At 35.1% G+C, this 15980-nt stretch overlaps 1 protein-coding gene across 7 annotated transcripts in view; it reads right to left on the bottom strand.

Annotated features, from left to right (window-relative positions):
* The window catches only part of RAPGEF2 (Rap guanine nucleotide exchange factor 2), a 257095-nt gene that overhangs the window by 54470 nt on the left and 186645 nt on the right, over positions 1-15980 (bottom strand). For all 7 annotated transcript variants that reach the window (NM_001351724.5, NM_001394067.2, NM_001351726.3 and 4 more), the window contains one exon: positions 1231-1362. In NM_001351724.5, coding sequence (NP_001338653.1) covers positions 1231-1362 — 132 coding nt within the window. The remainder of the gene's footprint in view (positions 1-1230; positions 1363-15980) is intronic.

The raw sequence follows: 15980 nt of genomic DNA, 5'->3' as shown, positions 1-15980 counted from the left end.
AAAAACAGACAAATGGGACTTAATAAAACTAAAAACCTTCTGCACAGTAGAAGAAATAATCAACAGAGTGAACACATAATCGGTATAATGGGAGAAATATTTGCTAACTATGCATCCTACTGGGGACTCATATCCAGAAGCTCAAACAACTGAATAACAACAACAGCAAAAAATTTAATCCCATTAAAAAGTGGGGAAAGGACATGAATAGACATTTTCAAAAGAAAACATACAAATAGCCAACAGACATATGAAAAAATGCTTAATATCACTGATCATCAGAGAAACGCCAATTAAAACCACAATGAGATACTATCTTTCACCAGTCAGAATGGCTGTCATGAAAAAGACAAAAATAGTAACAGATGGTGAGGATGTGGAGATAAGAGAACACTTATATGCAGCTGGTGGGAATGTAAACTAGTACAATCTCTTGATGAAAAACAGTATGGAGATTTCTCCAAGAACTAAAAATAGAACTACGATTCAATCTACCAATCTCATGACTGAGTATCTACCCAAAGGAAAATAAATCATTGTATCAAAAAGATACCTGCACCTGTATGTTTATTGCAGCACTATTCACAATAGCAAAGATATAGAATCAACCAAAGTGTTCATCAATGGATGACAGAATAAAGTACAGTACATATATGCAATGAAATACTATTCAGCCATAAAAAATGAAATCATGTCTTTTGCAGCAATATGGATGGAAGTGGAGGCCACTATCTTGATTGAAATAATTCAGACACAGACAGACAAATACCACGTTTTCAGTCACAAGTGGGAGCTAAATAATGTTTACACATGGATGCAGAGTGTGGAATGATAAGCAGTGGAGACTCAGCACATGCGGGAGTAGGGGGTGCATAATGAGAAATTACTTAACGGGCACCATGTAGGTTATTGGGGTGATGTATAACCTGAAAGCCCTGACTTCACCACTATGCAATCTATCCATGCAACAAAATTACACTTTTACCCCACAAATTTATACAAATAAAAAAAGGAACACTTTGATAACTCGTCATAGCAGAGGCAGTATAATCAGACAGCAGTTCTACACCCTAAAAATAACATATACGAAATAAACATTAATATTTTATGTACTTACATGCACATGTAATATACACATATATTTATTTTATAGATTCTATCAGCTGAGAACCTTAAAATTTCTTGGAATAAATGAAAATGAAGCAAATGACAAGGAAAACATCCTCTTACCTGGTAGATATCAGAAAGACTGCTGCTCCCAGAATCACTAGTGATACTACATCCTGAATGGCTAGAAGAAACGTGGGTCACCTGTGGGTGGAGACTGTCAGTAAGATGCAGTTTTGTGAAATCTGCAGGAAGCTATGGAAGGAGCAGGAAAAACTAGGATTACAATCTGAATCAAGAACTCCAAGAAGACATTTTAAAATTAAAATATCATATTTTATTCTATACCATTGAACTAAAAATGGTATTCATTTTCCACATTCACAAATTACTAAATATTGTCTTATTTACCCAAAATCACATATAATAATTTTTAAAGTGTATGAGCACACATGAGCCTTAAATAACACTAAATTCAATGTCTTAAATAGGTGGGTTTGGTTATTAAGATAAACTTGGGTATTTAATTTAGTAAGCTAAAATTTTCCAATCACACGTCAATGAGCAAATTAGGCTACAGTACTATTTATTAGCCATCACAAATGTAACTTTGTGGCAAAAAGCAGTTTAAACAAGAAAACACATTTAAGCTACGTTTATACCCAAATAATGTTTAAAGGTTAAAAAAGAGAGCATCTTAGAATTGATGAAGTATATTGCCATATAAGCAACTGTACTAGGCTCTACAAAGAAAGAGAAAAGAATGCCATCAAAGATCTTAGAATTGAGAAAGTTATGGACAACACTTACCTATCCTCATATACATAAATATCAACTTTCTACATGTTCATGTTTAAATAAAAATAGTCTCTATTAAAATAAACACATTCACTAAGTATCCCTTACGTGTTCTGCCACCCCTTATATACCAGAGAAAATGCATTAGAAAAAAAAAAACCGCTTATTTGACAAATATTTACCGAGCCCCTTTTCTCTTATTATGCCCTCGTCAAGTGAGAATCTAAGAAAACAGATGTAAGGTTCTTAAGAATCTTAGACTCTTATCAGTTATTACCAATTCTTTTGAATAAAAAAAGACATTATATTTGTCTATAATATCACACATTATACTATTGAGCTAATAATGAAACAGCATTTCAAAATACATGTTAACTAGCATCATGAAATACTGATAACACTCCCTTTTTCCTGCATATTGATCCTATTTAGCTGGCAAATAGTTATAAATATAAGGACTAATTGTTAAAACTTAAATAAACGTTAACCTTAGTAGTATTCCCGTCCACCTTTTGAGGCTCATTCCCTCCCCCTCCAAAATGTTACTGCATAGTTTAGAGTAAGCCTCACAAGGGAGACAGTTTGGATTTACGACAATGATCAATGGATTTTGATACTTCGGAGCTCCAAGTAGGCAAAATGTATTTATATCCCTTAATAATTCAGACCTACTGTCTGAATAGATTACACCCCTCTCTACCTTAAGTGAATTATATTTAACAATATTTACATACAATCTGTTTAGAAATAATAACTTTATTGGATACAAGGCATACAAAGGGGAGATTTAAACATAAACTTAATAGGGGCATATAATTAGATGCCAAATAAATGGAGAAAAATTCATTTGTTGAGGGAGCTTGGAGAAGTGAAATAATCGCAAACCTATCTTACCAACAGTGTTTTTAAAGAAACTGGTAATTGAAGATGTTGTAAAATACATACGTAACTAACCTGCATAATGTGCACATGTACCCTAAAACTTACAGTATAATAATAAAAAAAATAAAAAATAAAAAGTAAAAAAAATAAAAAAATATGTAATATTTAGGAGAATAACAACTTATCTGTAAGGGATAGGCAAATACCTCTAAATTCAGAATTTATGTTTCATTCATAATGTAGAATAGTGAAATATTTGCAGGACTTCTTCAGGAACAATTCAAAGATAGAAGTTTGCAGATATGTATTAATGACTATAATTTTACACATAGCTAAATGGTGATCAGATATGAAAATAAATAATAGGCAGGATAGATACCCTTCATCGTCTTAGCTACACTTCCATTTAATTAAGTCACTGCAGAAGGCAACTGGGGAAACATTACTCTATGGCTTAGAGATGTTAAAAGGCATCAATCAATACATGTAATTAGAGAACAATAAACTGATTTCTATTGATTATCTTTTACAGACATGACTCAGGTTGACATGCAACATAGTGTGATTTTTTAAAAAAATTAACGTGTCAAATGAAGATAAAACTATCTAATGAATTTTTATATTTTATTTATTCAGGTCTCACAGAACTCTCTTCTCTTCAGAATCCATCATCTTCCCTGACTAAGAATTCACTGTATGGAGAGCACTAGGAGTTGTAAGAGCTCCAAGCCTAACATAAGAGACATTCATCCAGCTTTTAGATACCACAATCTATTCATCTGTGCCTACTTACAGCCAAATATCAGAATTACATGGAAATGTTAGGCTCAGAACCATAAAGACTGTCAAAAGAGAAAGAAATATCGTTGCTTTTAAAAATTCAATTATATTTAATAAATACTTATTGAGTATCTGCCATGTCATACACTCTGCTAGTGGCAGAGAGTATCAAGATAAGTAAGACATTCCTAACTCCAAACCTCTACTACCTCCAAATTCACTGTGATAGGTGTTACAAACAATAGAAAATACAAGATTTTTTTTTATTTTTTATTTTAAAGACAGGGTCTTCCTTAACTGCCCAGGCTAGAGTGTAGAGACACAATCATAGCTCACTGTAGCCTTAAACTCCTGGGCTGAAGTGATCCTTCCACCTCAGCCTCCTGAGTAGTTGGAACCACAGGCACATGCCACCATGTCTAGCTAATTTTAAAATTTTTTGTAGATAATAAAAGGGTCTCTCTATGTTGCCCAGGTTGGTCTCAAACTTCTGGCCTTAAGTAATCCTCCCTCCTCAGAGTGCTGGGATTACAAGTGTGAGCCACTGCAAACACTGTTTTTATCCCTTTCTCCGCACTATCTGTGTTCTTTGCAGAATGGCATGAAATAATGATATATTAAAGTAAATGCATATATAAATTAGCATTGATTAAATGCCTTTTAATATGAGATATGTAAGAATAGATGCCATGTTCAAAAAAACCTTAAAATCTTTTCCCACCAATTAGGATAACAATACTATTATTAATTTTTTCTTTTTGGAGACAGAATCTTGCTCTGTCACCTCGCCCCGGGTGGGGTGTGGGTGGCACAATCTCAGCTCACTGCAACTTCCACCCTTCCGGATTTAAGCGATTCTCCTGCCTCAGCCTCCCAAAGAGCTGGGATTACAGGCGCCCACGACCCCGGCTAATTTTTCTTTTTTAAGCAGATACAGGCTTTCACCATGTTGGCCAAGCTGGTCTCAAACTGCTGGCCTCAAGTGATCCACCCGCCTTGGCCTCCTAAAGTGCTGGGATTACAGGCATGAGCCACCACATCTGGCATTATTATTAAATTTTATTGACAATACACATCAGTCAAGTTATGGAATGGGAGATGTTATAAAAGGTGTTCCCATAAGGAAAGAAACTGAAATGCATTGATTTGACTCTGCCATGACACTCTAATGAAATAGAGGCCTGAGCCCATGCCTAGGAAAAATGGAGTTTCTAGGAGGCAAACAAACCATGTAGGGGTTGAGAGTCAGGAGGCAGACACAGGGGCAGATGCCCACATTTAAACCCAAGGCCATCAGGGAAACACAGATCTGAGAAATATATACAAGGCACAACGTGACAGCAAGCATCCCTTACTCTAAACTTTTTTCTAAGCTTGACCCAGTCCCAATTTAAATTACTATGTATAGTACGCTATTTAATTAAATTACAGATTAAATTGAGGTTGTGAATTATCTTGCGACTGTAGCCACCATTTATAACAGAAATTCTGTTCAAAAAATAAAATTTATAAAGCTAGAAATATACAGTAATTACCTGAATAAAATCAATAATTAAGTTAATTAAATGAAAAAGTAACACATTTTATGTATTTTTAATACCAATGTATTTCCCAACAATTCATTAAGAACACAATTCCAAGGAATCTTTTCACCTATATTTTTCATTTTTATCACTTAAATATTTATTTTAATATTCGATTATATAAATATATTACTGCTCAATTTTTTGTTCCTGGAGCAAGCAACCTATAGTCCTAAAAAACACCACCTGTGAATGACAATTTTAATAAACTACTCTTAGGCAAATGGTTGAATCATAGTTTAACCACAAACACTGCTAAATATATAAGAAACAAGGGTAATATTTAAATCAGATTCTTAAATCAGACTTAAATCAGATTATATTAATTATATATTGTTTAAATCAGATTATATTAATTTTAGGTTTATGCATATATAAAGTAATACTTACATAAAGTATATTAGTATTAAAGTATATAAAGTAATACTTTATAAGTATTACTTTACACTTTTAATACTTTATAATATTAATAAAGGATACTATATTTTCATTCAGCATTCATCCATCATTTATTGAAAGCCTGTGTTGTGTGGACTGAATAAATAAATGGGTGTGAAGGACTTAGAGAAGTGCCTGGCACACAGGAAGTAATACTTTATATAAGCATAAACCTAAAACTAATTGTAGTTTCATAAAACCTTGGTATCATTTGTATAATAGCTTTTTTTTTTATTATGTAGGACAAACAGATGCTACCATAATTAGCTTTGTAAAAGTAAATTCTACACATTATTTAAGTCTCTATAATATATAAATAGGAATTTGATAATCACTGATTAATCTAATGGTTGGCATTTATAAAATTACTAGCTAATAAATGAACTCGATCTTGAACATAAAGATGAGTATGGATGCCTTGAAGTCTCTGATACCAATAAGTAAATACTCATAAGTAAATAAGTAATAATAAGTTAAAAAAAAAGTTAAATTGGTAAAATACCTAAAATTGGTGACAGTGCAGTACAAACAAGGGTGGCTGCCCTTCTTCTTCCTTTCCGTCCTGAATTACTAATTATTGATATAGCGCAGCATCTGTGGTACCAGATCCCCAAGTTTTAGGGATGAGTTTTGTGGAATTTTATTATCAACAGAGGCTTATTCTCTCTGTCTTTTTTTTTTTTTTAATGTAAAAGAGAGTTTCATGGTCCAAGATACATATCATCATCATCTTAGGACTGCTGAGAAATCCAATAGTTAAAAACAAAAAAATACTGTCTATTGACTGAAATGTATTTAACTGATAATTTCCCAAACTAATCTTGGAACCACTTTAAGTAACAGTTATAACAGAATGCACAAGGTTTGGGGTGATGATCACTGGAATCTAGTCAATTTTCCCAGGCATCTTACCTTGAATAAATCTACTTAAAGTAAAATAAATATCACACTTAGTGACTAAAACTAACTTCATATTAAGATGCATCACTCAGAATTTACCCAAATGAACACTGCTTTCCCCATATCATTGTCAGGGTTTTGAGTCTTTATGTTCACGTTTTTAATCTCTACAAGGTGGAGTAAGTATATTCCTAGACATATTTTCTATTTTTCTCTGAGGTATTTGTAAAAAATAAAGGATACTATATTTTCATTCAGCATTCATCCATCATTTATTGAAAGCCTGTGTTGTGAGGACTGAATAAATAAATGGGTGTGAAGGACTTAGAGAAGTGCCTGGCACACAGAAATGACTAAAGTGTTAAGTACAGATCATCACGGACCAGACTCTGCAAGGCGCAGGTCCCTTCCAGCTTCATGATTCCTGTAGCTGGAATCTAAGCCTAGATGCCAATGGATTATTGAGCTATTCCCAGAAAGGGCTTTCGTGGCCAAACTCACCCAGCTATAGACACGATCTTTCACTCCCTCTGGAACTCAAGTTATTTTAAAAGCCATTCATATTGTTTCTCTTTCTCTAGGCATGCACATACATACACACCCACACTGTCTTCCTTTTTCTTTCCTTTCTGCTATTAATCATTTCAGGTACTACTAGTTCTGACACTCTGACTTGTTTCTACATGCAGCTTGATGAGGCAGGAAATTTTTTAGTAGCTCATTTTAAAGACCAGTTTATAATCTGATCATCTTTTATTTCTTTAAATCCTATCTCTGTAAGAACACAAGAAAAAGTAAACATTTGGACTTTTAAATATTATTCACCACAGTAATTTTGGCTCCTTTCATAACCCCTTTATATATACCCTAGATACAACACCCATCCTTGAAGTCTTCATATATCAGATCAGTATTCCACAAAGCAAAGAGAAAGATTTTTGTAAAATATAAAATTTATTTTGCTAATAAATATATATAATGTCAGGAAACAAAAGTTTTCTAAATGTGTCATGAGTTAATAACTTAATAAACTGATAAGATAAGGCCTAATGTTTTTCTGATTAAACTACAGGTAGACTTTTTAAGGTGTTGATGTAACTATGCTTTATAAGAATAGGTCTGCAAAAATTTATTTGCTTTTATCTACTGGAGAAAACTGCCAAAATTAACAATTTGTAATTACTTAACATTCTTCCAGCTTCTTACCAGGCTCAGAAGACAGAAGCCTCATGTTAGCCATATACGGATTAATCTTCTGTTCAACTACCTCCTAAGTCAAGTGAACCTGGGCAAGTTAGTTAACTTCTGTGTACCTCAGTTTCTTCTATGAAATGGCTATAACATAATAGAGTGATCAAATGAAATAATCACTGTGGTCCAAATAATCTACCTTACATATGCCTCTCTATTCCTTCTCATTTCTTCTGTCATTTTTCCAGACAACATCCTCCACCACCTTAGGCCAGATATTTTTCAAATTCGGTGGAAACGAAGAAGCCAACCAAAGAAACAACTTGTTTTGACACTGTCATACCTAAAACTACCATTATGGTAGTTCACTTACTATATATTTCCCCAAAAGTCTACATATTACCTTTTAAATAAATCATGTATTTATATGGAGAGGAACTCACTGCTTAGAATACCATAATACATTTTGCAAACTAAATAACTTCATTTTCATGATATGCTTATAGTTCAATTACTCTCTTTTATAATAAAATATTCAAATTTCTGTAGTTTAGAATTCTCTCAAAGTGATAACAACTTGCGTAGTTTTGTGCATTTATGTGTATTGCCTTATTATATTTGACTGCAAAAGCCTCGAAAATAATATGCATTTGGCACAGACATATGCTACAAACTAAGTATGGTAAAACCACAAAGCTTTGCTCCTGCCATACGGAGCACACTGCCTCTCAGAGGACAGTCTGAACAGAAACACCACTGTGTTGTGTGTTTTTTTGGGGGTTGGGGGAAGGGATGCATTTCAAACGTTCCTTGCTACTTTCCTATATTATGATAATGTTTTAGAGTTGTAACAGAGAGGGCTTGATAAGATGTGGCTTATATAATGAGTATTTCACATGGCTTGCTGTCCAAATATATATCTTTATGTGGTGGAATTAGCTACTGAAATATGGTACCCTAGCCCTCTCCCAAGGCAGAAAGGAATTAATTCTTGCGTGTATGAAATGGGGACAATTTAAATACACTTGGGACCCCGATGAGGAAAATAAATAATCAATATTAGTGAACTGGTTGAAAACTGGCTGTCTGTCACAAGGTGACTAATGTTTCAAAGCAAATACTTTTAGGAGGGTTTTTCCATTGAATGTTCAAAGAAAGCATTGAGTAGAAAGGAAACCTACATGAACTTCACTTGAAAATGGAAGAGAGGAATACGTCAATGTGATGAGAAACTGCATGATCTAAGTACCATGTATTTCAAAATGTGAGGCTTTGCCCCATTTTTCCAAAGATAACAAAATTAGATCACCTGTACACCAGTTACTATGTGACAGGCCCTACTCTAAGTACTTGCATACATTAGCTTACTTAATTTTTACAACACTCTTAAAAAATAGGTATTAGTAGGACTATTTTATGTAGGAGGAAACCTCAGATGCAGAAAAGTGATTTGCATCAAGATCACACAGCGAAAAGGTGATGGAAACAGATTCCAGCCCCAGATGAACGGCTAGGGAGCACACACTTAAGCATTAAACTTAAATATATTTATTAATTTACTAATTGACCTGAAAATTCTCATGGATATTGATGGAACAATCAAATGGCTATTTAGATCAAATTACTAGTGAAATACAAATTTCAAAATCACATGAAAAATATTAATTGTAAATAATTTCTCACTCATGAAACTTTAATCTGCATCTCCAACATCAATGACTTTGACATTTGCAAAGCTGACTCACTTTTTGAGTCATCCAATTGAGTTTACATTCCTTCTAATTTGTTTAAGGTAGTGATGTGTCTATAAATGACACAGTGCTGTATAACATTCAGGAAGCTGATTTTTCATTTTTCTTGCAAGTTCTTTACAACAACCATCATTTACTTTTTGCTTTATAAATTAATCTTTACAAGGTTTATGGTAATATCCAGTAATTGCAATTCTGAGATCACATATTCAGGCCTCGTTATTAAATCTATGTAAAACTTCTTTAACTCCCTTATACCAATTCCATCATGTGAATTATAAACATTCCAAGCTAAGATCGCTTGGGGTCATTTCTGATTAATTTTCCTTATGGAAAAATACATCCTTCTTTAAAAACAATAAACTAAATTGAGAGAGAACTTCATTATATAAAAGATTAAGGTGGCTTATTTTCTGATAGTTGATTTTGGTGGAAACAAAACCTTGTCTTTTATATAATTTCCCCAACATCTGAAGGTCAGAAAAAACATTATGTGCATGCGCGCGCGCGCGCGCGCGCACACACACACACACACACACACACACACACACACTCACACACTCTCTCTCTCTTATGCTAGTCAACTAATTCTATCACTTTAAGAAAGATATCTGAGATATCTGGCATCAAGAACAATAGTAGAATTATTATTAGAACCATTGAAAGTGTCATTGAAAATGTTTATCTGAGACCTCAAATGGTACAATCGAACTGTTTATACAAGTTTCCATAGAAACACGGAGGTAGTTGATTAATGTATATATGGCCAAATGAAATGTCCTGTTGCCTGTTAATAAACAGTTTTATGATGGATTTCAAGTGACAGCCAGACCATTCTCATTTCAAATACACATACATACACACACACACACAAATGCATACACACAGGCATGCACTCTGCATATAATTCCTTTTCCTTTTCAATTCATTTTCAACCATCAACAACCACTCATTTGAAATGCATAAATCCCTTTGGGAGATTCCAAAAAATTCTCTAGGTCATTCAGTCCAAGAACTTTCAATGAAAAACACACCAACTGTTGGTACTGAGTTGGGTGATTTAAAAGTCATGCTCTGGGTAGTATTTCATCTATTTTAAATTCCAAACTCCTCTGTATATTTTCTCTTAATGTTAATAATAATTACTGCGATAGCTTTGGGGCGAGGGGGCCTGTATTGTATAATGGGCAATACGCTGAACGTTTCATACTTTGTCTCTTTGTTCTAATATCTATGAAGAGCCCAGATGTTGCACTTCATTGCTGAAGAAATGAAAGCTCGGGCCAGGTGCGATGGCTCACGCCAGTAATCCCAGCACTTTGGGAGGCCGAGGCAGGTAGATCACCTGAGGTTAGGCATTTGAGACCAGCCTGACGAACACGGTGAAACCCTGTCTCTACTAAAAATATAAAAATTAGCCAGGCGTGGTGGCATGCACCTCCCAGCTACTTGGGAGGCTGAGGCACGAGAATAGCTTGCACCTGGGAGGCAGAGTTTGCACTGGGCCAAGACCATGCCAATGCACTCCAGCCTGGGTGACAGAGTGAGAGGAAAGGATGGAAGGACGGACAGACGGACGGAAAGAAGGAAGGAAGGAAGGAAGGAAGGAAGGAAGGAAGGAAGGAAGGAAGGAAGGAAGAAATGGAAGCTCAAAGAGCTCAAGTGGCTTGTCCAAAACCCTCAGTAACAGGCTCCAAAATCTATGTTTATGAACTATAAGCAAATCATGCAATCATACCATTTAGACTGTAATACTAATTAATATAGAAATACTGGTAATATTCTACAATTACTAAAACTTGAGTTCTCAGCCTCTTGTTTTCCAGAACCTAGTGGGACTGATGCTATGGAAGCGGCAATCCCTGGAGAGGGAGGCAGCTGCTGGTACGATCAGAAGATGGCTTCTATAACCAATTAGACAACAACTTTGATGAGCTCCAAAGGGACTGCACTTAGTTATCCCAACTGAAGAAATGCTCAATGGAGTATGGAGCTCGGGAAATGAGTGTTTAAAGTCAAAGAAAAAAGATTCCTATGGGATCCATGGAGGATTCTAAGCTGCCTTCTTTGTGAACAAAAAAGGTTGGGTTTGGGAAGGAGGCCTTACACAGAATTAAAAACATTAACCCATAATTAATTTTTAACTCTTTAAAAGTTATAAAGCTATCTTACACCTAAATGCAAATGAACTTAGATCTACATACAGTAGCATGGCTGAGACTGGCTAGCTATTCACCAGTGCTCTCTTGCTGGGTGCATCGCTAGATTACATTTCCCAACGTCCCTTCCGGTTACGTAAGTGCCAATTGAGTTCAAACCACTGGAGTATGAACAGTTAGAAGTGAGTACGCCACTTCTATATCTTACTCATAACAACCTTACACATGAGACCCTCCATGATCTTTCCCTTTCCATTAAAGAGAGTCTCTGTTGGAAGAAAACGCAAGCTTTGCATTGAAGGTTAAACACAACTGAGCCAAAAAATGGAGAGGGGCTGCAACCCTGAACCACTATCTAGAAGGAATTTGTCCATTGATCAAGAACACCATCAGATTTATGAAAAGGAGACTTAAAAGAAAGTCTACTGTGTTTGAACCATTATATTTTGTTTTGTTTGGTACAATAGCTAGCATTATCCTAAACAAATACTAGGATCATTTTTACGACCTATAACTGAAAATTCTTCCACAGTGAAATTCTAAATTCCTTATGAAGAAGTAGGCAGGACACTGATAACATCCTATTTCATGGGACTGTGTGCAGTTTGGATAAAATAAACACGACAGTTCATTTACTCTTCAATTAACTAGTCAAACGACATTTATTGAAAACCAGTAGGCCAGACACTATTCTGAGTTTGCTAAATACAGCAATGAGTAAAATAAAGCCCATGCTGTCATGCATCTTACAACTAGTGGGTGGGGACAAATAATTAAATAATAAACAAGAAACTGTCAAGTTGTGATAAGTACTGCATCCAGCAAAGATGAAAAGAAACCGATGTGATAAACAGTGACTAGACAGAAAGGGATGACCTAAGATGTGATATTAAGACGAGAAAATTGTTTTCATTTTTTTATGCTCTCACTTATTTCCCAAAGGAATAATTTTAATTATATCATCTTCATAAAATACATATATAGACATGTATACAAAATATATAAGCACACAAATTTTGTATATAACATTTTCATATATTAATATATAATACATTGCTAAGTATACTTCATATTTGTCTTTGTGTAAAGTTGAGATAAATCTAGCATATCACTAGGCCAAAGGAATATAATCATTAAATATATTATGAAAAATTATTGTGCTGTGTATGTAACTTGAGAACAAAATCAACAAAGTATTAGATTATCTTATGAACCAAAGACAGTAATGAAATATATGGAGTTGTTCAGTGCCCTCTAATTTGGAGAGCACTAATATCTACTCAAATATCAAGACACAAATATTCTATGATGAAACTATAAGGTTTCCGGAAAATTACTTGTTTTTAAAAGTGCTGCTTCATAGGTTACATGAAAAATTAGGTCTAGAAGCCACCTACTTGATTGTTTGATTTTGATGACTCATAAAATTTATTGAATAGGCTGACCACTTGAGAATAAATACTTCTCTTGAAATTTATGCTATAGTCTTTTAAAAAAATAGAAGTAAACTTATTTCATTAGGAAGAAGGGTGGATGTACTCAAAACTCTGACTCCATAGACTTTATATCCTAGTATTTGTGTGTCTGTGTTGGGGAGTGGGTAGGAAGTTGGGGGAAGCCCATCAAAAAAATAAGAACATCACTTAGTGGTAATTTAAAAATTAATTAAGTATCCAGGATATAGGGTGTGAAAGGTTTCCCTGCTTAGGTAACATCTGAGTACAAGATATGAATGGAATGAAGGCCTGACCCCTGCAGAAGCACATGGGAGTAGCAGGCATTTCAGCAACAAACACACTAAGAGCAAAAGCCCAAGGTAGGGTGGCGTTCGCATGTTTTAGGAATAGCTAGGTCAGTACAAGCTCTGACAAGGAGAGGGATTGGGGCAGAGAGATATTCAGGGGTGAAATCACGTGGGGAGCTATGGTAAAGAGTTTGGATTTTACCCTGAATGAGATGGGAAGCCACTGAAGGGTTTTGGGAGCTCAAAATGTACGAGTCAATAATTCAACACATTTTAAATATCAGCAACGGTGGTAATGTTGCACAAAAGATTTTCCTCATTTTAACGTGAACCAATTCTACACACATATACAAAATAAAGACTATGGAAGGGTATAAAGAAAATGTTAACAATAGCTATAATTACATGGTAGGATTATGGACAATTAAAATTTGTTTCTGCTTATCTACATTTTCTAAAATTTTAAATATAAATATGAATTACTTTTGAGATAAGAAAAATAAAACATTAACAGTAATTCCACATAACTTTAACAGAAAAAGATATTCATTACAACTTACATCAAGAGGACATAAAAAAAAAAACAACAGCACTAAAGCTTGTCTTGATATATATACAATGGATAGTGACTCAAAACTGTGAAACTCCATCTATTCTAAGTTATCATTTGTGGATACACTGGTTATATAACTTTATCAACTGAGAAACTTTATGTACTGTGTGGCTTCTCAAATACTGCCTAAGGTACAGTAAGTATTTAATAAGCAAATTGTCTGGTCAGGCATGGTGGCTCATGCCTGTAATCCCAGCACTTTGGAAGGTTGAGGTGGGAGGATAGCTTGAGTCCAGGGGTTTGGGACCAGCCTGGGCAACATGGCAAAACCCTGTCTCTACAAGAAATACAAAAATTAGCCGGGTGTGATGACACACGTCTGTAGTCCCAGCTACTAAGGAGGCTGAGGTGGGAGGATTGCTTGAGCCTAGGAAGTCAAGTGAACTGTGATTGCGCCACTGCACTCCAGCCTGGATGGCAGAGTGAAACCTTGTCTCAAAAAATGATAAAAATAATTACTAATCTCCACCCAATCCTCACACACACAGATGTATATATTCACACATACACAGGAAACTACCTTGATTTTAAATGACATCTCAGATCCTACCTCTAAAAATTTGCTTCTAGATTTTATGCAACAACCACCACCACAGGTACTCCTTTTCTAGTGACGGGTATTACAACTGAGCTAGACAATAATCTTTAAGACAAAAAATAATTATGTTACCCTTCTTAAGTTGCTAACAAAAACACTGGGTATTCATGTTATGTGTCTATCAATTTTTCCTTTTACTTCTGTGACAAAGATATCCATGTTAGGATTTATTTCTAAGGATTTCAATGATAAGAATTTAATTTCACATTTATTTTCAAAGGCTTCATGTGTCAACCCTGGCATGCCAGGTAATCTCATTGCTTTGGCTGTCGGGAGGGCACTATACAAGAACTGACTGAACATTTGTGGTGCATTACTCACTGTCTAGGGCCAGCAGGAATATATACTCATAAACTGCAAGAAGTCTAATAGATTTTTCTCTTTTCCTTCATCTTTTTTTTTTTTGTAAACCTTAGACACATGCCATTAAATGAATAGTCTGAATGACTATGACATCGTCAAGCACACATTACCTAAAAGAGACCCCCTCACTTCTGCCAATGCTCCAGCACTTTTCATGACTTTCTCAGTCACCTGCCATGATTGATTTACATCACCAGTTGAGTAACTCTCTTAGAAAGTACATTCTTCCCAAATTAATACAAACTTTTAATATTCTATTGCTGTATTAAGCTGTGGTTTACCTTCCTCAACTTCAGCTACTTTCTCTAAATGTTTCTGTTAAGTGTGTATGTGTATGCATACTGATGTATCATCCTAGGTTGAAATCAGGGAAACAGAGTAGCTTTCATTAAAATCCATTCAGAGAACCTGATGACTGGTTAAATAAAATCTGTGGTGTCAGTGCACATGCATGCACATACACAAAAGCAGGAATACTTTGAAAATGCCTTTAGATACAAAAAGTTTAACTTCCATAACCTTGAAGTTACACAGCCTCAATTCACCTTAGGAAAACCCAGAACTTAAAAAATTGACCAAGCTCCCACTATGTGTGACAGCACTCTGAGAGGGGATTTACAAATATGAACCCACTTCACTGTGGTGCCACTGTACTACCACTGTCCTATCTTGCTTCTTGTAACACCCTCTTCTTCATGTCGCAGCCAGAAGTAAACTTTTAAAACACGATAGGAAAATACACACCTGATCCTGTCACTCCCCTGCCTAAAATGTTTTAGTGGCTTCTCTTTCCCTTTGGAAAAAGTTATATTCCTAACCACTGCACCCCACTGTCTTCTCCTTTTGATCTTCTCACACTCACTTCTCTTCCCCTCAGCCTCTGTACTAAATATATAAATCTATTTCTGGTTATTTTAAATACAGCGAGATACTCTGTATCTCCTCCTGGGTCTTCATTGTTCCCTCTTCCGGGAAGAACACTCTCACCCCTGGCCTGGCTAATTCTCTGAACCCTCCTCCTGAAGTTAGAAATTCTTGTAAGATGTTCCTGTGATACCCAGAATGCTGCCTGT

The sequence above is a fragment of the Homo sapiens genome, chromosome 4, assembly GCF_000001405.40.
Source record: "Homo sapiens chromosome 4, GRCh38.p14 Primary Assembly".
NCBI lineage: Eukaryota > Metazoa > Chordata > Mammalia > Primates > Hominidae > Homo > Homo sapiens.
This window is presented reverse-complemented; position numbering and strand designations above follow the sequence as displayed.